General features: G+C 45.4%; 1 protein-coding gene and 1 pseudogene across 2 annotated transcripts in view; both read left to right on the forward strand.

Annotated features, from left to right (window-relative positions):
* Positions 1 to 22,864, forward strand: part of FLVCR2 (FLVCR choline and putative heme transporter 2) — a 69,548-nt gene that overhangs the window by 25,293 nt on the left and 21,391 nt on the right. Inside the window, exons 1-3 of one of the 2 annotated variants that reach the window (NM_001195283.2) lie at positions 1,628 to 1,712; positions 18,167 to 18,308; positions 20,700 to 20,840. In NM_001195283.2, the coding sequence (NP_001182212.1) occupies positions 1,659 to 1,712; positions 18,167 to 18,308; positions 20,700 to 20,840 (337 nt within the window). In that variant the 5' untranslated portion in view covers positions 1,628 to 1,658. Of the gene's footprint in view, positions 1 to 1,627; positions 1,713 to 18,166; positions 18,309 to 20,699; positions 20,841 to 22,864 lie in introns of those variants that run through there. The other variant, NM_017791.3, reaches the window with a different exon arrangement.
* RNA5SP387 (RNA, 5S ribosomal pseudogene 387) lies at positions 261 to 8,765 on the forward strand (annotated as a pseudogene).

Raw genomic sequence — 22,864 nt, forward strand, 5'->3', positions numbered from 1 at the left:
TCTGTCCTGTGTCTCAGAGCAAGGCCCTGGGCATAGCAGCTGCTTGCAGATGGATGGGCAAATTAACAAGTTTTCACTTCCTGAAAGAAATTAAGATGACCAGTCAGTTAACTGAGAGTTCAGGTGGTTGGAGGAGAAGATTCTCATGCCTGGGTTGTCTTCTTGATGTGACTTGTTCTTATTCCTTATGTGGAAAAAGCTACTGAATCCTTACAGTGTGCGTTGGACTGTGCCAGGCCGAGGGTGTTGAGAATACTGTCGTCTACGGCCATACCACCCTAAATGCACCCGATCTTGTTTGATCTCGGAAGCTAAGCAGGGTCGGGCCTGGTTAGTACTTGGATGGGAGAATACTGTCGCTAGATCTGCTGTGTACCCTTTGACAAGTCTCATAACTTTCATAGGTTTGGGCTTCTTTGGTAAAATAGCATTCATACTGGCAACTGCAGAAGCTACAGGAAGGGATTCAATGAGACAATATGTGGACAGCATTTAGATAGTAGTTTCTCAGATAAGAAGTGCTAAATGAGGTCTGCTGTCATGGCACATGCCTGTAATCTCAGCACTTTGAGAGGCCAAGAGGGAGGATTGCTTAAGCCTAGGAGTTCAAGACCAGCCTGGGCAACATAGTAAGATCCCTGTCTCTACCTAAAAAAAAAAAAGTATTAAATAAAGAACAGATGTTTTCAGTACCATCATCAATAAAGGTAATCGCCTCTGTCTTCTGTTGGTTCTGGATCTAGAAAGAGAGGCCAATACTGAAATCTCTCCTAATACTACCGGACATTGCCCCAGTGTGGGTGCAGTGTGGACAAGCAGGGCAGCTTCCTTAAGGTGAAGGTTGAGCTGATTCCTAATGAGTGAAGTGACCAGGGGTTGGTACATAGGGGAGGTTGGGCCATTCCAGGAAGTATCCCAGTAGTATCCTGATGGAGACTTGTGCCTCTTGAGAGCTACTTAAACTAAAAGCAATATGGGTGCAGGAAGTTGGTGTAATATTCCCAGAGTGCGGTGATGAAGACTTTGGAGACTCTGGGGTGACACAGATACTCACTGGGTCAACCCCTATGCCTGTGCACAAGACTTTAGTCTCACAAACCTGAGACTGAAGGAAGCGGGCAGGGGTAGGGGGACCGGGCGGGGGGCGCCCAGGCTTATCAGGTGTTCACAGCTATTTTCCATCTCCTTGTTCTTGATCTTTTTCCAACAATGCTGTTAACAGGATGTCCTTCCCTTGACTTGAACTCCCCCCAAGCCTCAACATCAAACAGCCCTGTGTGGATTGCAGGATGTAGGTTGGAGTGCCATCAAGGATGATTAAAACAACAACCACCACCACCATCACCATCACCATAGGGTTAAGGTGATATGTGGTGTTTCCTCTTCTTTCTTTCTTGACCTCCTGACTTCTTTCTACCTAGCACCATTCCCAAGTTAACCCAGTGGAATATCTCCCCTCCCTTGATTCTACAGAGCTAAGGGCCTTTTTCTTTGGTGAGTCATTCATAGGTGGGAGGGCACCCTGTAAGCTCTGGTGGCCCAGCCAGACACTTCTGCTTTCTGACTTGATTACAGGCATCTTTCCTTTTTCATGCTGTGCAAAAACTTGAGCTCAGCCTCTCACCCCAACACAATTCAAGACGCAGCCTTGTCCCAGCATGAGCGCAGATAACAGCAGCACCATCTGTGTTTGTAGAAGCGTGAGACAGGAGGTGAGGATAGATCTTACTTCCTTCCCAACTTCTTTGGGTTCAGCCGTGTGTCCGGAGCCTTAGGAGGGAGGAGTGTTTGCTTTGGCTCCCCTCCGATTGCTTCTCCAGAGAGGAGTTGAACACAAGTATTTTTCAGTTCCAGGAGGCTGCTTTTGATTGCACAGCCCTGCCAGCTCCGGAAAAGAGGGACACAGAAGCTGGAGCAAGGTTGGGAGCTGGTTTTCTCCTTTTTTTCTTCTCTCCCCTGGAAACTCCTGATTTCTGCATACAATGACTGGGTTGACATGGCTGGGTCTCCTTTGGCGGCTCTAGAGGTAGCTGTCTGTATGCAAGTCTATTTGCTGTGTTCATCTACTGGAAAACATAGGAGGTGAGCAGGCATAAGGCATTCGTGGGCTTTTGTTTCGTTTTTTGAAACAGTGTCTCAGTCTGTCGCCCAGGCTGGAGTGCGGTAGCATGATCACGGCTCACTGTAGCCTCAACCTCCCCGGGCTCAGGTGATCCTCCCACCTCACCTCATCCTTTCGAATAGCTGGAACTACAGGCTCATGCTACCACGCCTGGCCAATTTTTGTATTTTTTTGTAGAGATGGGGTTTTGCCACGTTGCCAGGGCTGGTCTTGAACTCCTGGGCTCAAGTGATCTGCCTTCCTCTGTCTCCCAAAGTGCTGGGATTACAGATGTGAGCCACCACCCTGGTGAGGCATCCATGTTAAAGCAGGGTTCATTCTCAAGGCTGTTTGTTTGGGCTAGTAGCTGCCTTTTGAGCAATCTAGGCCTCCTTAGACCTTTATCCCGGGCTTCCTGTTGGGTGCTGGACAGGTTTGTGGAGACACCCATTTGAGCACACCCAGGATTCATCCCTTCTCTGCTGAGAAGCTAGACAGGAACACACCTCTCTCCCACCATTCCTGCCTAGGGTACATAGGGGAAGCCAGCAGCTGAGAATTCTCTTGATTTCCTTCCTCAGAGTGGTGGAGATCAATTGTTTCTAAAGTATGCTGCATGAGCCCCTGCACCAGAACCACGTGGGTGTTCATTAAAAATGCAAATTCAGAGACTCACACCTATAATCCCAGCCCTTTGGGAGGCCAAGGCAGGAGGATTGCTTGAGTCCAGGAGTTGGAAACCAGCCTGGGCAACATGGAAAAACCCCGTCTTTACAAAAAATTAGCCAGGCATGGTGGTGCCTGCCTGTAGTACTAGCTACCCAGGAGGCTGAGGTTGGGGGATCACCTGAGCCTGGGAGGTGGAGGTTGCAGTGCGCCAAGATCATGCCACCTCACTCCAGCCTGAGGGACAGAGTGAGACCCTGTCTTAAGAAAAAAAAAAAAGCAAATTCCTGGGCACCAGAGCAGACCCAAGGAATTAGCTCCTCTAGGTTGGGACCCAGGAATATGTATTTTTGATTCTCCTTCTAGGGATTCTGATGCCCACTGAAGTTTGAAAACTCCTGGTATAGAAGCCATGGAAGCTGGACCCAGCAGCCATGTTTGGGGCCTCCAGCAGGATACCTGTCCTCTTTGGGCATCAGCTTTTTTTTCTATAGCAAGAATGCCTGCCTCACAGGGTTGCCATGAAAGCTAAATGAGGCAATGTCTATGTGAAACAGCTCCTGGAACCAAGTAAGCCCTCTGTAAACATTTACTGAGTCCATATCTATCTTTTCCCTCTCTACCAAACTCATGTTCTACAACATGCTAGTGTTAAAAAAGGTAAACGGAGGTGCAATTAAAATTTTTTTAAGAGTTTATTTGAGCAAACAGTGATTCATGAATTGGCTGGCTCCAAACCAGAAGTGGTTCTGGATCATCCTGAGTCTCAGACCATGTCTTCTGGGGATATGATGCTGCTTTGTGCCTTTTTGAGACTCAGCAAGGTTCCATGGGAAGAGAGCAGGGCTGGGAATGGAACCTCAGAAGTCTCGATGTTGATGATTAGCTCTGTGACTTCAAGTTGCTTCAACTCAGTTATGAAGTAGAGAAGACAGTTTGGCCCTGACAGGTCTCTGCTTCCTCGTCTGGACTTTGGGCATCCTGCTCTTGATCTCACTGGGTGGTTTTGAGGCTCTGGTAATATATCGGATGTGTAGGTGCCTTGAAAATGGTGAAATATTTTGCCAGTGTTGACTTTTAGTGCCCTTTCTTGAACTCAAAAAAAAAGGGGGGCTCGGTGTGGTGGTTCACACCTGTAATCCTAGCACTTAGGGAGGTTGAGGTGGGAGAATCACTTGATGCCAGGAGTTTAAGGCCAGTCTTCGCAACATAGTGAGACTCTATCTCTACAAAAATAGTTAAAAAGTTGGTTGGGTGTGGTGGCACATGCCTGTAGTTCTAGCTACTTGGGAGCTAGAGAGGATCACTTGAGCCCAGGAGTTTGAGGTTACAGTGAGCAGTAATTGCACCACTGCACTCCAGCCTGGGCAACAGTGTGAGTTCTCATCTAAAAAATCAAAAAATACTCTGGACTTGCCCTTTGACAGTAGAATAAAAAGGGCTTCTCTAGACACACATCGTGTCCTGCCTGGATTGGGGGCCATGCCCTCCATGTAGAGGGCTCAGCACTCCTGCCTTTACACCGGCTCATGGTTCAGGATAAGCTCCATCATCCTTACCGTAGGAGACTCTCTCAGAGCTTCTGGGTTTCAAAGCCTTCCTCTCATCGGCAAAGAAAGGAAGCTATACTTGCTGATTTGATCCTCTTGAGCTGAGCTGTTCGGCGGCTCCAGGAATCCTGTGGAGCATTCTGGTTCTTTTTCATTCCAGGAAACTGACCGCTTGCTGCAGAGGGGCCTTTTGCCAGGAGTGGCACGATGCAACGTTTGAGTCTATATGTGCCTAAGATGGTTCCTCTCTTCAGTGTAGGAAAATGGCTGTGGTGGCATAGCACAGAACTGATTCATCCCCACCCTCAGGACATAGGCCTGGGAGGGAGAAGTTTTATCCTGAGGGCATGGTGGTCCTGGCCCTACCAAGTTTTCTCGCAGCCCCTCACAGTTAGCAAGTGGCAATGATCGATGGTAACAAATGGGGATCGGTAGGGCTTGGACAGCCCTTGTGAAGATGTTGGAACCCTTAGGAAGATGTTGCAGTTTCCGTTCGACAAGCTTCTCTCTCCAGAATTCTTATATCTCTCCTTAGGGAGGAAGGTTCCTCATTGTCTTCCCTGGGTATGGCTGCCCCCGTATTCTCATGCTGCCCCACCAAAAGCCATGTCCTTTATTAGTGTGCCCCCATCCTGGGCCAGACCTCTGTCCCTTGCAAATAACCCACACAGTCCCCTGGCTATCACATCTTTGTCTCTGTTCTACAACAAGTTCCTTGAATCCTGCTTGTCCTGAATTGCATCCCCTCCAGCCAGCTTCCCTATGTCTTTCCAGTTGACAGCAGGCAATGAGAGAAATGAAAGCCACTAAAGAAGGCCCTCCTCCCCTTGGCCTGTCATGTGTTTTTTTTTTAGACAATGCACCATAGCCTTTATTTTATTTATTGAACAAATATTATTGAGCATCTACTCTGTGCCAAACAACAAACATTTTCACAGCTGGGGATGCAGCAATGAATGGGAAAGGGAAGGTCCCTGTTGGCAATAGCCCTCTGTTCTTGTAGAGTTCACATTGAAGGGAAGAGAGATTACACTATAAGCCAGTCACACCGGAGCGGCTAATGGTGCAAATGTCAGCCCAAGTAGGAGGGCGGGTGACTTCAAAGCAGGATATTAGGAGATGTTTTTAGCTAAGCAGGTCCCTGAGTAACTCCCTAAATAACAGGGCCAGATCTAATGGTGCTGCAATCTCTCTCTTTCTCTCTCTCAGGGCGTTATAGATGTGAGTGACTAATAGTTTTTTTGGTGTAAGCTTGAGATTTCTTTTTCTTTCCAGCTGTCTGTCTGGGATCCTGAGGCAAGCTTAGTTAACTTATGAAGTTGGCTTCTTAGGAAAAAGCTACATGGGTCCCATCCTATCTATTTCTTGAAGTGCATGCTCCAGAGGAACTGGGTTTTGCCCATGGCAGTCCATGAAGCAGCAACTCTTCCAGGGCCTGCCAGTAAGTAATTGGCAGGGTTTTACCCCTGAAAAAATCAGAATAGGAGGGCTATTACCAGAAAGTCCATCCAGATTTAGAAGGAAACATGGGAGGATTAGAAACATTGGTCGTCACGTGAGCATCCCTTTTAGGAATGCCAGAATGTTGCCTTGCAGACAAAGGAGACAATTATTCTCCTTTGGGCTGTTTTATCTGTCAAAGGTCAGGGAGTGGCACCTTTGAGTTGGGGGGGATAGATGGGGGGTTAGTGTTAAGGGAATGCAGAAGACCGGAGAATCCCTCTGTTGGCTGTTGATTGCTGGTGTCTGGGACAGAATTGGTGGGCAATCAGTGCCAAAGCATTTGAATGGCGCTTTGCACATCGCCTACTTCAAATGTGAAAACTTTGGAGTAAGATTTGCATGATGTGATCTGATGTGATCTCAGCTGGCCGGGTGGTTTGAAAGACACCCACTCATTTTTCCTCCTTCCTAGCCGAGTCATGGGGAAGTTCTGTGACCACTGGCTTTCAGCACAGTCAGCTAGAGGGACATTAATGTATTGAGGTGACAGTGATTTGTTCTCTCACTGAAAGAAAAGGCAGTGGATTCTTCACTTCTGCACCCAAAGTAGACCTAGGCTGGCCCTTTGTGGAGTTCACCATGAGGACAACTTCAAGGGGAACACCAAGTCCTTAAAAGGAGGAGTGTGTGCCAGGAAGCTCCTGAGTTCATGATGACAGAAAGCAAGCATAAATACCGGGCTTAGCTAAAAAAATAAAACACGGCCTTTGTCAGTGTTCCTTTTTTTTTCTTTAATCAGAAAACTTTCCTTGTGAAACTCATTTTCTTCACCTAAACTTAGCAACTTCTCTGTTTACAGCCTAGTGTATCTCTGCTCTTCAGCTAACTTGCACCCCCCACAAAGATGAGGAGGAAACCCAACACCAAGGCTGTAGGTCAAGATCAAGGTATATTACATTATAAACCGGGTGAGAGTGAGCTCCTTGTCTTGCATCTTTCTCTTCCCTTCTGAGTAGGGTGCCTAGTATGCAGCAGGTGCTCAATAAATACTGAGTGTAGGTCTAAGAGTGAGAAGTTGATTGGTCTGCATTCGAATCCCCTCCATGCCTGATCTTGGGGCACCCCAAATGAGAGGTCTTCCCTGTCTGGGGGCTTCCTTAGGTCATTTCATCTGGCATCTACTCGCTTTGGGTGGTTAAACTCTTACAATGCAGCAAACTGCTACTGTGCCCAACTTGTTTACTGCAGAGCAGCCTGGAAAGACTTGAGTGAGGTTTGAGCTGCACAGTTCTAAGAGTTATTTCTTCACTCAGAAAATATTTCCTGAGTGCTGTCTCTGTTCTTGTGATTGTGTCAGACGTGGTATGCGGGAGGGTCACATGAGCAAATGTGAGTCAATGTCCCTGTCCTCAAGGTACTAACAGTTTAGTTTGGGAGACAACACACTACACAAAAAGAAACAAAACTAAGCATGACATAAAAACAAGAAACCTGTAAAGTGTAACTGTGGCAAAGAAACCAAACTGTAGCTGGAGACACCTCTCACCCTTGCTTCCTCCGACAGCTACACATTTGGGGACATTTGAACTACAGAATGGAGCATATGAGACTGGAGGGAGTGTCGGGTGTGAGGGCAGTCACTTTTCTGTGGCATTCACCTTGTCCGTTGAGGGCTTTGGAATCAGATAGCCAAGGGTATGAATCTCAGTTTTGCCAGGAGAAGCTGTTTTGACCTTGGGCAAATTATAGAGGCTTTCTCATCTGTAAAAACCAAACCAGAGGCCAAGGCACAGTGGCTCATGCCTGTAATCCCAGCGCTTTGGGAGGCCGAGGCAGGTGAATTGCTTGAGCCCAGGAGTTCGAGACCAACCTGGGCAACATGGTGAAACCCCGTCTCTCCTAAAAATACAAAAAATTAGCCAGGTGTGTTGGGCGCATGTCTGTGGTCGCAGCTACTTGGGAGGCCGAGGTGAGAGGATTGCTTGAGCCAGGGAAGTAGAAGCTTCAGTGAGCCGAGATCGCACCACTGCACTAGCCTGGGCAACAGAGTGAGACCCTGTCTCACAAACAAACAAACAAACAAACAAAAAAACCCACAAACAAAACCCAAACCAGAGATGATGGTGCCAACTTCAGGGGGTAGTTGTGAGGGCATAGATGAAATATCATGTGAAAAAGCCTTTAGCATGCTGTCTAACACATAGCAGACACTCAGTACATATTCACCTCCTTCCTCCTGGTTTGAGTAACATTTAAGACCAGCGCCTTTAACCTAATGGATAAGAGTACAGATGAGTACTGATGGCCAGAGCTTGAAGTTTAGCCTCATCGCTTACTGTTATGTGACCTTGGGCAAGCTACTTAAATGCCAATTTCCTCCACTTTAAAATAGACATTAGGGGAGCACGCCTTCTATTTTATGGAGTGAAGTGTTGCCCCCCAAAAGAAAAAAATTAATAATTAAAAAATAAAATGATTCAAAGAGTATATATATTTATAGGGTGCTTTGAGCACAGTGTATCAGCTCTCATCGCTATTATTATCTTCCCTAGGGATCAATGATTGTAGGCTATCCTAATTTCAGTAGCTGCTGCTTCCTGCATTTCTCTAACCTCTTTCACCCAAAGAACTGAGGGAATCCAGGAGTCAGGGCAGTAAAAGCCACCAGCATAATCACAGCTTTCAGGACAAACCCTGTGACGGGGGCGGGAGCTTGAAGGAAGTCTGGAGTTGGCCAGCTGTAACCCTACTCCCTAAGTTCTTAGAGATCTTAGCTTAGCCTTTAAATCCATAAACCCCCTTCCTGAGTGATTTTCCACCAAATCAATGAGGTTGTTTAGATTGTCTTTGTCTTTGAAGGCCTGCTACCTCCTTGATCCCGAGTTGACCTTTTCAAAAGAAGCCTTGGATTTGGAGATTTCACAAATAACAGTCATATGAGCGGTCTTTGCCTGGACATTATCGGTTACCGTGGAGCCGCCTGGCATTCCTGGGTGCTCGGGGCTCATTCTCATGATTAAGCTCAAGCTCTGGGTTCTTAGTTTTGCAGTGTCTCTCAGCCCCAGCAGCCACCTTGGACTCTCCTTGCTTCTTTCTGGGGCATCCGCAGACTCAGTCCCAAGACCCCCTGCCAAACCTCGACTACATGTCCCAAGGTAGCTTGCCTGGCAGAGTGCCTTCACTCTAGCCTGGTCTCCTCCACTTGAGGTCTTGGAGCCCTTGTTTATTCTCCATGTTGCTAGATCAGTTATTCACTAGCAGGTATAAGCAAACATCTAAATGATGCTGGCCAAGGGGTAGAGAGCAGTATTTATAGCAACAGAATTATGGACTGGAGTGTGCAGACTTGCCTAAATAGTACCAACTTTGTGGTGTTTCAATGCACACAGCACTGTGTGGGCATGGGCAATGAGTGTGGAAGTCACTTCCACATAATTCCCCAGGTGGACATGGTCCTGGGAGATGGAGCTTGTGTTAGTCCATTTTGGATTGCTATAAAGGAATATCTGAGGCTGGGTGATATATAAAGAAAAGAGGTTTAATTGGCTCATGGTTCTGCAGGCTGTACAGGAAGCATGGTGCCAGCATCTGCTTGACTTCTGGCGGGGCCTTAGGAAGCTTCCAATCATGGTGAAAGGCAATGATGGAGCTAGGGTGTCACATGGCAAGAGTAGGAGCAAGAGAGAGTGAGGGGGAAGATGCCACACAGGTTTAAACAACCAGATCTTAGGAGAATTCATTATTGCAAGGAGAGCACCAAGGGAATGATGATGGCACTAAACCATTCATGAGAAATCTGCCCCCCTGACCCAATCACCTCCCACCAGGCCCCACCTCCGACACTGGAGATTACAATTCAACATGAGATTTCTTTTTCTTTTTCTTTTTTCTTTTTTTGAGATGGAGTCTTGCTCTGTTGCCCAGGCTGGAGTGCAGTGGCACATCTTGGCCCACTGCAACCTCTGCCTCCCGGGTTCAAGCGATTCTCCTGCCTCAGCCTCTCGAGTAGCTGGGATTACAGGTGCACATCACCATGCCCAGCTAATTTTTGTATTTTTAGTAGAGATAGGGTTTCACCAGGTTGGCCAGGCTGGTCTCAAACTCCTGACCTCAAATGATCCACCCACCTTGGCCTCCCAAAGTGCTGGGATTATAGGCATGAGCCACCACACCCAGCCTCAACATGAGCTTTAGAGGGGACAACATCCAAACCCATCATGCCCCTTTACATAGTAACACTTTCTCCCAAGTTGTCTGTGCAGCTGAAGTTTTCCTCAGCTGCCCTACTCTGTGAACTTAACTTCAGATTAATCTTTAGGCCATAAAATCATTGGTAGTGTGCATAGAGGTATGTAGATATACACATTTACCTAATAACTGTATCATGTAAAACATCCTTTGGCAAGGACAGCATCATACTGAATGCTTTAAAATTGCTCATTTGGGTTGATGGGCTTACAGTAATCCAATGTGTGAAAGTCTAGATTGAACCTCAATGTATCTTTTATGAGGCTCTTATTTTAAAAGGATCCTCAACCATGCTTTTTAAAGTATCAAACTTTCTCTGAGAACCTTGTCTAGACTTAAATTTCCAACCACATCTTTCCACAGTTCTGGGCTCACATGACAAATGTGCAGTGGCAATGGTGCTTTCCTGACATGCCAGTTAACTGCAGCTCATTCTTTCAACAACCATGTATTGAGTAAGCGCCAGACTAGCAAGTATCAGGAAAATGACTGACAACCCAAAGATTAGAGGAAGTTAGAGCAAGGCAATCACGCCTAGTGAGGATCGTCAAGGAAAGCTCTGTGAGAGAATTCACATGGTGATGGGCTCTGAAAGATTAAAAAGGGGATAACTTGGGATAAAGGTATAGACGAGATGATGGGAAGGTTGGAATCATGACTTGTTCAATCTGGCTGGAATATAGGGGATTTATAGGGATACAGAAGAGAAGGGTCTGGAAAGGAAGGTTGAAACTAGCAAAGACAGCTGTATTAGTCTGTTTTCACGCTGTGATAAAGAACTGCTTGAAACTGGGTAATTTATAAAGAAAAGAGGTTTAATTGACTCACTGCTCCAAATGGCTAGGGAGGCCTCAGGAAACTTACAATCATGGTGGAAGGGGAAACAGGCACATCTTACATGGTGGTAGGCAAGAGAGCGAGAGAGAGAGCGTCTGAAGGAGGAACTGTCAAACATTTTTCTAACCATCAGGTCTTGTGAGAACTCACTACCATGAGAATACCATGGGAGAAACTGCCCCCATGATCCAGTCACCTCCCACCAGGCCCCTTCCTTGGCACATGGGGATTACAATTCGAGATGAGATTTTGGTGGGGACACAGAGCCAAACCAAATCAATGGCTAAGAACAGTAGCTGAGGGGTTTGGACCTGCTTCCTTCCTCTGAGAGGGCTGACACCTTGAAGTTCTTTAAGCAGGGACGGTGGGGTCAATGCAACGCCAAGGACCATGAATGTGAGTACATCATGCAGGTCGGGCAGAGGAGAGATCACAGTTGCCTGGGAGAAAGGCAGAAAGGTCCGAAGTGGGACAGGGCAGATTCAAAGAGGACTTTGCAGAAGGGTTTGGGAGGATCTGAGACGAAGTGCATATAAGAGGGCAGAGTCAAAGATGACTAAGATAATTGAGGAAGGACACGCAGATGGAGCCAGAGAAGGAAGTGAAGCAGAACCAGGGTAGGATGATGGTTTGTATGACTTCCCCAAATAAACCAAGTGCATCTTGGGAGTCCCAGTGGCCTCTGCTGCCTGTCACCTCTGCTGTGTGAGAGTGTGTGGGAAAGGGCCAACCCTGCAGACAGGGAGTGAGCCTCAGCCCGATGAGCTAGGTGGTATTTTCTTCCTCTTGTGGATTAGGAAACACACAGAGAGGTCAATTAACTTGCCAAGCTCTAGTAACTGGTAGGGCCGAGATTTGAATTGAGATCTTTCTGACCCCTGACCCTGAGCCCTTAAGCACTATATTAGTATGATGATGTCTCTGAGGAATGTTGAAGCAGAAAGGAGAAGTGGGAGATTCATTTAAAAAAGCATAAGGCCGGCTGGGCGTCATGGCTCATGCCTATAATCCCAGCATTTTGGGAGGCCGAGGCGGGCGGATCACAAGGTCAGGAGATTGAGACCATCCTGGCTAACACATGAAACCCTGTCTCTACTAAAAATACAAAAAAAAAAAAAAATTAGCCAGATGTGGTGGCGGGAACCTGTAATCCCAGCTACTCGGGAAGCTGAGGCAGGAGAATGGCATGAACCCGGGAGATGGAGCTTGCAGTGAGCCGAGATCGTGCCACTGCACTCCAGCCTGGGTGACAGAGTGAGACTCCATCTCAAAAAAAAAAAAAAAAAAAAAATAGCGTAAGTCCAGTTATGGTGGCTCATACCTGTAATCTCAATATTTTGGGAAGCTGAGATGGGAAGACCACTTGAGACCAGCCTAGGCAACATAGTGAGAGACCCCAATTCCACAAAAAATTAAAAAATCAGCCAGGCATGGTGTCATGATCCTGTAGTTCCAGCTACTTGGGAGGCTGAGGCAGGAGAATTGCTTGAACCCAGGAGGCGGAGGTTGCAGTGAGCCAAGATTGCGCCACTGCACTCCAGCCTGGCGACAGAGTGAGACTCTGTCTCAAAAAAAAAAAATTTTTTTTAATTTAAAAAATAAAAATAGCATAGCATGGGCATGAGGCAAGCCCCAGATTAGGTCATAAAGGGACCAAATTTGATGGAAGCCTTCAGCCTCAGGGACTCTGGTGCAAAGAAAGCAGCTGGCTCAATAAAGGGATACATACATATATATATTTTTTAATTGATACATGGCATTTTACATGTTTATGGAGTATGGACTTTTTTGACTCAGCACTAGGAAGATAGCTCCTGAGAGCTCTGAAATCTAAGGGAACATGTCCAGCCATACCCAGTGATTATGCCCAGGGGAGAGGAATGAGCCAATTGGTTTGAGCAAATTGGGGCCCAGCCCTAGGGGTGAGGGTGGGCTTGCCTTTGTCTGAATAGCACAGCACGTTGGGAGAGGAATGAGTTTCAGTAGGTGAGAACCTGTTTGTGGAGGTTGTTGTCTCCTAACAGGAGCAGGATCCACCTTGCCAGTGGCTTGGGTCAAGAGGATAAGCTGCCTGGGACCCAGCAAAAGGCTCAGATGGGGACTACTGGTTCTTTTCCTGTTCCATTTGGACTGAAGCCCTCACCACTGTGTGGACAAAGAGCTCCTTGCCTTGCCTTTTGGGGAAGCTCTTGGATCCTCCCTGGATGGCCTGGCCATATTCTGGCCCCATGACTAGGTAGGATTTAGGAGGGCATCTGTGTGCTAGGGTTCTGATTCAATTGTGACTTAGGGCTTTGTGAATGGTGGGTGGGGACAGTGGATGGTGGAAGAGGATGGGAAACAGTGGTTCTGTGGATCTCAGAGCTGGCATAGCATGTGTGTTGTGTTGTGTAATGGGTTGGGTATGGAAATCTTACCCCAGACGCAGCCTGATGATTTTCTGGTTTTATTCTTGCTCTGCCAAATGCATGAGCTAGAATCACAAGTGAGACATCATTCAAAGTATGGCTTCTCCCTGTCACCTAGGGCCCTCAGACGACATAGACATGTTTTTAACTGTGACATTTGCTCTGGAAACGTTCCTGATTACTGACATTACAGTAGCATTTAGAGGTCACCTTTGAGTTTGCAGAAAGGGTGAAAATAAAATAGAAAATGAAAATTAAATATCCCAGGCTGCCTCTCCATCCCTTCATTCATCACATTTTTTGTTAAACACCCTCTATTGGGATGAAGTAAACTATAGTTGTAAAGCTTACCTAACTTTGAAATACTGTATGTTGAAAACTCTAGCTTTGCTACCTATAGCTGTGTGACCTTGAGCAAGTCAGTTAGCCTTCCTGCATCTCAGCTTCATCATCTGTAAAATTGGGACGATGTTAGACCCCTCTTTCTGGGGTTGTTGTGAGGCTTGAGATACTCTGCATAAAGCTCATACATTTTACTATGATGAGTATTATCATGTGCCAGCCTGCAGAGATCAGTGTGAGCCCTGCCCTCATGGAGCTTATAATCTGGTTGGGAAGACAGATGTTAATTAAATGATCATACAAATATAAAATTACCTATGCAGGAACCCAACCTCATGTAAGGGATTAGAGCAACCTTCCTGAGGAAGCAGGATTTGCACTCAGACCTGAAGGATATCTGCATTGACTAGCTGAAACAGGGCAGAGAGAGATTCTAGTCCAGGTAGAGGAGCTGGTGCAAACTCCCCATGGTCACTTGAAAGACAGAAAGGAGCTCAGTGTAGCAAAGTCCTGAGGAACAAGCTGGTGACAAGGGTCAGACCATTAGACAGAGCCCATGTGCAGAACCTTGTGGGCTGTGCTTAGGATTTTTACCTCTAATTTAAAGCAAGGAGAAGTCACTGCAGGGTGTTAAGCAGGACGTTTTCCAAAGATGGCTGGCTATCATGGAAAATAGCTAGGAGCAGAGCTGCATGGAAGCTATTAGGAGGCATGAGTCATACTTTTTCAGAGGCCAGTATCTCCCCAACTCCCTTGATGAAGATGGGGATGCCTGCATATGAAAATACAGGTACCTAGGACCCACCTCAGACCTGAGGGATAAAAACGGGGTTGGTACTGGTGACGTTTGTTATGGGACAAGTTTGGGAAATACTGCTATGGGATGGGTAAAAATGAAGAGAGCCTAATTTTGAAAAGTATGTTCCAGAAGAGCTAAGACTATGACTTGGTTTGACCATGAATTTTGTATTTTGCCCATGACTTTGTGTTTTGTTGAGAATGATAAAACTAGAACAAGTGCAGGGATGTAAGTCAACTCAAAACCAGTTAGCAGTGACATTCATTCATTTGCCTTCCCAAGGTGGGTCTCCAGGAAAGATGCCAAATGCTCCATGTGCCCCGTTCTCCCACATTTTAAATTAATGTTTCACTGATTCAGGCCCCAGGTCTCTGATTTGTACCCCAGAGGTTTCCTGTCAAATGAATGACAACCCAAATGGGTGAAAATGTAGACTTCCGTGTTGACTAGTATCACACCAACATTTCATGGAAGGCAGCAAAGTGAGCCTGGGTTCTGACATCAGACAGAACTGGCTTAGGAGCCCAGCTCCTCTGCTAGCTGCCTGTGTGACCCTGGGCAGGGTGCTGAGCAGCAGGGTTTTTTTTTTTTTTTTGCCCTCTCTCTTTTTTGTTGTTACAAAGTTATTGGCGATAGGCTGGGTGCAGTGGCTCACGCCTGTAATCCCAGCGCTTTGGGAGGCCGAGGCGGGCAGATCACTTGAGGTCAGGAGTTTGAGACCAACCTGGCCAACATGGGGAAACCCTGTCTCTACTAAAAATACAAAAATTAGCCAGGCATGTTGGTGGGCACCTGTAATCCCAGCTACTTGGGAGGCTGAGGTAGGAGAATCACTTGAACCTGGGAGGCGGCAGAGGTTGCAGTGAACTGAGATCATGCCACTGCACTCCGTCCTGGTGACAGAGTGAGACCCCGTCTCAGAAAATAATAATAATTAATTAAAAATAAATAAAGTTATTGGGGTTAAATGAAAAGATAAAGTGTATTACATATTCGGCGCATAGTAGATGCTCAAGATACACTAGGGTATCCTACCCTCTCCTTACTTTCCCATACACATTTTTTTTTCTTACCACTGTGAGTACAATGTAGAAAGAACCTGGACCTTAATAGAGAGATGTGTCATTCCTAGCTTTGTGTAGACAGGATTTTCCACCAACGTTCATCTGCTCATCCATCCATCCATCCATCCATCCATCCATCCATCCATCCATCATGACTATGGAACAGACCTATATACTAGGAACTAGAAATAGACTCTCCCTAAACACTGCTCTTAAGAAGCAGGAAAAAAATATGTATTGAAAAAACAAAAGAGGAAGCAGCTTACAGTCTAATCCTGATGTTTTGGTTTTCCACACTGGGCATAAATGTACCTCCATAGCCAATTTCCTCCTTGAGAAAGGTTACCATGAGACAGTGTTGCTGCCCAGCTGGGGTTACTGTAGGCCACTGCTAAGGCCCACCCATCCAACCTGCTGCCTGGAGAAGGCTTAAAAGCCGGAGTTGGGGTGGAACAGCACTCACTCAAGCTTGGTGTATAGATGGAATGAACAGAGTCCAGCTGCCCCAGAGGAGGAGGGCATACAGTGTAGCACCAGCTGGGAGGATTTCTTTAATGGGGCAGAAGATTAACTGAGAATTAAGATATCCTGTGTTGGGACCTCAGAGCTTTAATTTTCCTTTGGAAATGAAAGAGTCACAGAGCCTCAGATGATGTCTGTATCTTTCCTCACTCTTGCAAATGGGACCCTGGGAGATTCTACTTAACTTCCAGACCTCCAACTCCAAAGTGCTTAGAAGGCCATATATGAGCTGGAGTGGGCCCAGCTTCCCAGCTATGAAGAAGGTTGCATTTGCCCCTCTGCTTGTGGCTGGTTTCTACCTTCAATTAAAGTCTTGAAGATGAGCAGTAGGAAGCCTGACTCTGACAAACCAGTATGACCAAGGATCAGCTAAAGCTCCAAGGACACAAAAGAGGCCTCTGTTCTGCAGAAGCCTGCCTGCCTGGGCCTTTCTCCAGGCTCTTAGCCTGGGATGCACTGGCCAGAGAAGCCAGGAGATCTGCTTTCTCACCTCCACTCTGCTAGAACTCTGGGTGACCCTCAACAAGTCACAGAGCTCAATTAACCTCACTTGGCCTTTGTTTTCTCCTGTAATTATTGGGTTTGTAATTATAATAAACGATTACAGATGAACTTTCAAACTGTAATATTCTATCATTTTAACCCACAAATATGGCCAGTTGTGTTATCTGTTGTATTTTTGTTTTAACATTTTTCCTGCTAACAGATTATTAAGCTCCTTGAAGGCAGAAACTCTGTCTTATACCTCTTGGTACTTTCTAAAATATCTAGCAGAGTACGTTTTAAAGATGCATTTGGTTAATTGATTACATACTGGTATAAAGAACTCTACACAGCAACTATGAGTGACCACTTTTGTGAATATTCCAGAACTGAGAACCACTAGTAAACATCTTGAATGGCTGTAATTGACAGAAGGAAAAACGAATCAAGGGGGTCAGCAGATTGGCAGTTGATGGATGATGTGAAAGTGAGGAGCGAAAGCAAATTGTTTCTTTACCTGTAGCTCTTTCAAGTACAACAAAGGAAAAATGAGACCTTACGACAAAGGAATTACTCATCTTCCTTCACTCTTGGAATCTGAAGCTTGCCTGAGTTCACAAGCTATTTTCCCATTTCCGCCTCAATATTATGTGCAGCAGAAGGGCTTTTGGGAATTGTATCACAGCCAGTCAGTACTGAAGCCAAGCCTTTCTGACCTCGGAAACACCCAAGTCATGTTATCTGTCGGTCACTGGAGTTTGGACTCCAACCCAGATAAGAAATGGTTTAGCACTTTGGGAGGCCAAGACGGGTGGATCACGAGGTCAAGAGATGGAGACCATCCTGGCCGACATGGTGAAACCCGTCTCTACTAAAAATACAAAAATTAGCCAGGTGTGGCGCACGCCTGTAGTTCCAGTTGCTCAGGAGGCTGAGGCAGGAGAATTGCTTGAACCCAGGAGGCGGAGGCTGCAGTGAGCCGAGATTGCGCCACTGCACTCCAGCCAGGCGACACAGCGAGACTCCATTTAAAAAAAAAAAAAGAAAAAGAAAAAAAAAAGAAATGGTTTAATTTGTTGGGGGTGTGTGTGTGTTTATAGCCATTTTTTACGTGCCTATCTCCTATGTGTATAAATTTATGCAGTTATGTGTGACTTCACACTACAGATGCTTTAGAAGTTACTACGTTATTCACACAATAAACTGAAGCTTCCATGCTTGTAAATGTGGTAACAGCTTTAGCCTTCCAACTCTTACTGAATGCAAGTTCTTGGGCTTGCAGGGTATAGAATTTCTCCCCAGCTGGGCTCTCAGCTCTGGGTTAACAGATTCAGTGAAACTAAAAATTTGAGTAGCACAAGAAAATAATGATCAATGTTATTTTAGTCTACTCCAGATATGGGAGTAGAGGAACCATTTTTCATCAATTTGCAGCTAGAGAAGAGCCAGCCCGCACTGAGACCATCAACTACATGTTCTTATAATAGGCATTGATAGTGAGGGTGGTCAGAAGGATGTATGAGCCAAAATGTCAGTCAGAAGAAAGATTTCTCTGGTGTTTTGAGGTGAGAAATAATCCCTGCATGGGTGTTAGGAAGGATTGGAAGTTGGAAATTAGATTTCTTATTAGGAATCTCTTTACATTTGTGTTGTCACCTCTTGGCCATTGGTAACTGTGATTGGGTTGTCTCTGTCTTCTATAGCTTGGAATTGCGATTGGGTTCTTGGTCCCTCCTGTTTTGGTACCCAACATTGAAGACCGGGACGAGCTTGCCTACCACATCAGCATCATGTTCTATATAATAGGAGGTGTGGCCACTCTCCTCCTCATCCTTGTCATCATTGGTAAGGTCATTAGTAAACAGATGGGGTAGCAGGGGGCGAAGGGGCAGGGAGATTCTGCTGACTTTGATGGGACCCTTGTGAACATGCCCTGAAATACCATGGATATTTACAGAAACTGGAGTCTGGGCTTCTTATGGTCTTCAAATGTTTTAGCCTGGGCAGTTGTCCCCACACAGTGGTAGCTGGTCCTATGCACTTTGTTAGTGGCTAAGGAAAGGTTTAATTGTCATTAACCAGTTCCCCAGTCCTACCTCATCAGAAGTAATGGGTAGAGTGCTAGTCCCCTTGATGAAACCCACTGAGCACTTAGGCCATCACAGGCACTGTACTGAGCATGCCTGATTTCATTTAGTTGTCAACAGCCCTATCAGTGAGGCACCACTATCAGTCCTATTTAACAAAGAGAAAAATGAGACTTAAGGGAAGTTATATAAACTGTTTGAGATTAGATAGCTCGTAAGTGGCAGAGATTGGATTCAAGTCTAAGCTTGTCTATGTCCCTATTCTAAATTTCTAAAAAAAAAAAACTGAAATTGATCCATAAAACTAATAATTTCATAGATTAACCTGACAGTACTTGGGGATCATAGTTCTTTAATGCCTTTTAAAAAAATTATAAGAGTAACATATGCTTATTATAGAAAAATCTAGAAAATACAAAAAAGCATAGAGAAAGGAATGACCATTAACTTGTCATTGTACAAGTTAATCCCAACCACAAACCTTAGATATCTACTGTTAATGTTTTATTTATTTATTTATTTATTTGTTTATTTTTGGAGATGGAGTCTTGCTCTGTCACCCAGGCTGGAGTGCAGTGGCACAATCTCAGCTCACTGCAACCTCTGCCTCCTGGGTTCAAGTGATTCTCCTGCCTCAGTCTCTCGAGTAGCTGAGATTACAGGTGCCTGTCACCATGTCCGGCTAATTTTTGTATTTTTAGTAGAGACAGGGTTTCACTATGTTGGCCAGGCTGGTCTCGAGCTCCTGACCTCAAGTGATCTACCCGCCTCAGCCTCCCAAAGTGCTGGGATTACAGGCATGAGCCACCACACCTGGCCGGCCACTACTGTTAATATTTTATATCCATGTACATTTAATGATTGAGGTATTTGGTAAGATAATTTTACATCCCTTTTTTTCAGCTGGGTGATATTATATGGGCTATGATAAACTTAGAACCAGCAAGACAGAGGTTTTTATTTTCAGTTAGTCACCTGTCTAAAGGTTAACCAGCTTTCTTCCTAATACTTGAAAGTTCCACCTCACATGTTAAAGGTTTCATTCCTGCCTACTGACCCCACCTCCAGAGTCAAGCAGTTATATAATTGGGTACCTCATTCAACCGTTCTCATTGCATTGTTCCCCACCAAGAATCCAGGATGAGAAAGCTTTTGCTGCTTTTCCATCATGTGTTGCTAGTGTGTTTTTTCAGTTCTCTGTGGTATGTTATTTGCTGGTTATTATGAGTTTCCTTGATCTTTGAACACTGCCTGGGAGGTCCAGTGATTTCAGCCTTCCAGAGGTGATTTAAAAAAAAATAATCAGGGCTGGGTGTGGTGGCTCATTCCTGTAATCCCAGCACTTTGGGAGGCAAAGGTGGGTGGATCACTTGAGGTCAGGAGTTCAAGACCAGCCTAGCCAAAATAGTGAAACCTCGTCTCTACTAAAAATACAAAAATTAGCCAGGCATTGGTGGTGTATGCCTGTGGTCCCAGCTACTCAGGAGGCTGAGGCACAAGAATCACTTGAACCCGGGAGGCAGAGGCTGCAGTGAGCGAAGATCACACCACTGTGCTCCAGCCTGGGCGACAGAGCGAGACTTCGTCTCAAAAAAAAAAGAAAAGCAGAAGTAATCAGTCCGGGTGCGGTGGCTCACGCCTGTAATCCCAGCACTATGGGGGGCTGAGGCATGCAAATCGCTTGAGCTCAGAAGTTTGAGACCAGCCTGGGCAACATGGCAAAACCCCATCTCTATGAAAAATACAAAAAATTAGCCAGGTGTGGTGGCATACGCCTGTAGTCCCAGCTACTCAGGAGGCCGAGATGGGAGAATTGCTTGAGCCCAGGAGGTGGAGGTTGCAGTAAGCCGAGATGGCGCCAGCCTGGGTGACAGAGCGAGACTCCGTCTCAAAAAAAATAAAGAAAAAAAAAAAGAAAATGGCATAAAAAATAAAAAAGTGAATGGTATCAAAGGACCATTCACTCAGCCTCAAACAATGAGAAGCAGCTTCAAGAAGGGGGCTGTTAAGGGTTTAATTAAAGAATTACTATTTCCTTTGGGAGTCTTAGCTCCTCTCAGATGATGGAGCAGCTTTCATTCATGTGGAACCAGCTCTTCTGGGGTGGGACCATGGGAATTTTCAGCCATCTCTGTTTTTTTCCTTTCAGTGTTCAAGGAGAAACCTAAATATCCCCCCAGCAGGGCCCAATCCCTGAGCTATGCCTTGACCTCTCCTGATGCCTCATACTTAGGTTCCATCGCCCGGCTCTTCAAAAATCTCAACTTTGTGCTGCTTGTCATCACCTATGGTAAGGTGTCAATGTGTCTAGGAATGCATTCGAGCTGGAAATGTTAGATGAGAGGCCTGATGTGTCTTCATATATTACTCTTTCTAAATCCCAAATGTGCATGTAAAGCTGTTGTCTAGGGTCAATCCAGAGGACCCAGCTATGCCCAAGGGCCTTTGCATGTGTTGTAAAGTCCACCTAGAAAATAATTTCTTCCCATGTCAGGTTATCTGACAAATGCCTGTTGGTCCTCCAAGTCTCATCTCAGTATCACTTTTGTAAAGCAGTAGTAGGTAACTTTCCCTCTCTTACCATGCTATTCCTTGTACATCTTAACACCTGTCATTAAAAAAAAATTTTTTTGCAGGTCTATTTCCCCATTAGACTGAACTCTCTGAGTGTGGATTTATGTTTTTCATCTTTATAGTTCCTCAGCAGTGTCGGGCCTCGAGTGACTATTCCAGTAGTTACTGAATTAGTTAATTAATTAATGCATGCATGCATATATGTGTCTTGCCACATGAGTCACTCCTCAACCAGTCCTCCCTCATCCTGTAATTGACTTCTATTTTATCTGAATGCACAACAACATCCCTCTTTCATTTCATTTGCTTGGCTCTTGGAAAGATAAATTGGAATCTTTATGCTAACATGTTGGCTTTCTTTCCCCGCATGGTGTTTTCTGTATCTTATTTCAAACCTGTAATAAGATTGTTGGATCGAACAAGGGCAAAGACAGAGCCTCATAGCATTCCACTAAAGAGTGTCCTCCAGATGAATGCCAGTCTATTAGTTAGTACCCTTAGTTCAAGCTGCTACATATCTACCCACCTTTATTGCTATTCAGCCTACATTTGGTCATTTAATCCACCAGTTAAAGTTTGATTAAAACTAAGCGTTAGCAAATCTGTGACATGTACCGTAACCATATGAAACAAAGAAATGAAATTGGTTTGACATGACTTATTCTTAGTGAAACCCCAGTTGGCCATGGCTTCATGTTGCCTATAGACTCAAAAGCTATTGTTTTATGTTTTATAACAACAATAGTGCTTACTATGTGTCAGGTGCTTTTCATATCTGATTTTATTTAACTTCCAGTACACCTATGTGATGTTGGTACTAAAATTATCCCTATTTAACAGATGAGGAAACTAAACTCAAAGTGGCCAAATAACTAGCCCAAGGTCACACAACTTTCAAGTGGCAGAGCCAGAGTTCAAATACAAGTTTGTCTAACTCCAAAGTCTCATTCTTTTGCTTTTTTTCTTTTTTTTAAGACAGAGTTTGCCTCTTTTTGCCCACACTGGAGTGCAGTGGTGCGATCTGGGCTTACTGCAGCCTCTGCCTCCCCGGCTCAAGCAATTCTTCTGCCTCAGCCTCCCGAGTAGCTGGGATTACAGGCACATGCCACCATGCCCGGCTAATTTTTGTATTTTTAGTAGAGCCAGGGTTTTGTCATGTTGGCCAGTCTGGTCTCAAACTCCTGGCCTCAGGTGATCTGCTCACCTTGGCCTCCCAAAGTGCTGGGATTACAGGTGTGAGCCACTGCGCCCAGCCAAAATCTGCATTCTTAATGCCTGTTCTGTAATTGCTGATGTTCCTTCCTAGAATTGTGCCAGAGTTTCATTTTAGGCTCAACAATACATTTTATCTCAACTAAAATGTTTATCTGCTGAAACACTAGATAAGAGGTGGCTTCATCCTGGTAGAGGGGCAATCCTGTTTTTCAGGCATACATAGAAATTAGGTGACCTTTCATCTGGAATAGCTGTAGGTTTGTCTTCAAGATCTTGGTCCTCCGTTCCTCATTTCCTCCAGTTTCTCAATTCTCTGAGTATGTCTCCCCATTCATCCGCAAAATAAAGACAAAGTTTCCAATGCTTAGAGAAGTCCAACTAAGGAAGTTACAAGTTCCCCATCACCGGAAGGTATTCAAGCATAGATGGGACTAACCACTTGATGGGAATGTTGTAGGGGATCTCAGGCTAAAGATGGATAGTGAAACCAGATGGCCTTTGGGGGCCCTTCTAGACTCAGGATTC

This window comes from Homo sapiens, chromosome 14, assembly GCF_000001405.40.
Source record: "Homo sapiens chromosome 14, GRCh38.p14 Primary Assembly".
Classification (NCBI taxonomy): Eukaryota; Metazoa; Chordata; class Mammalia; order Primates; family Hominidae; genus Homo; species Homo sapiens.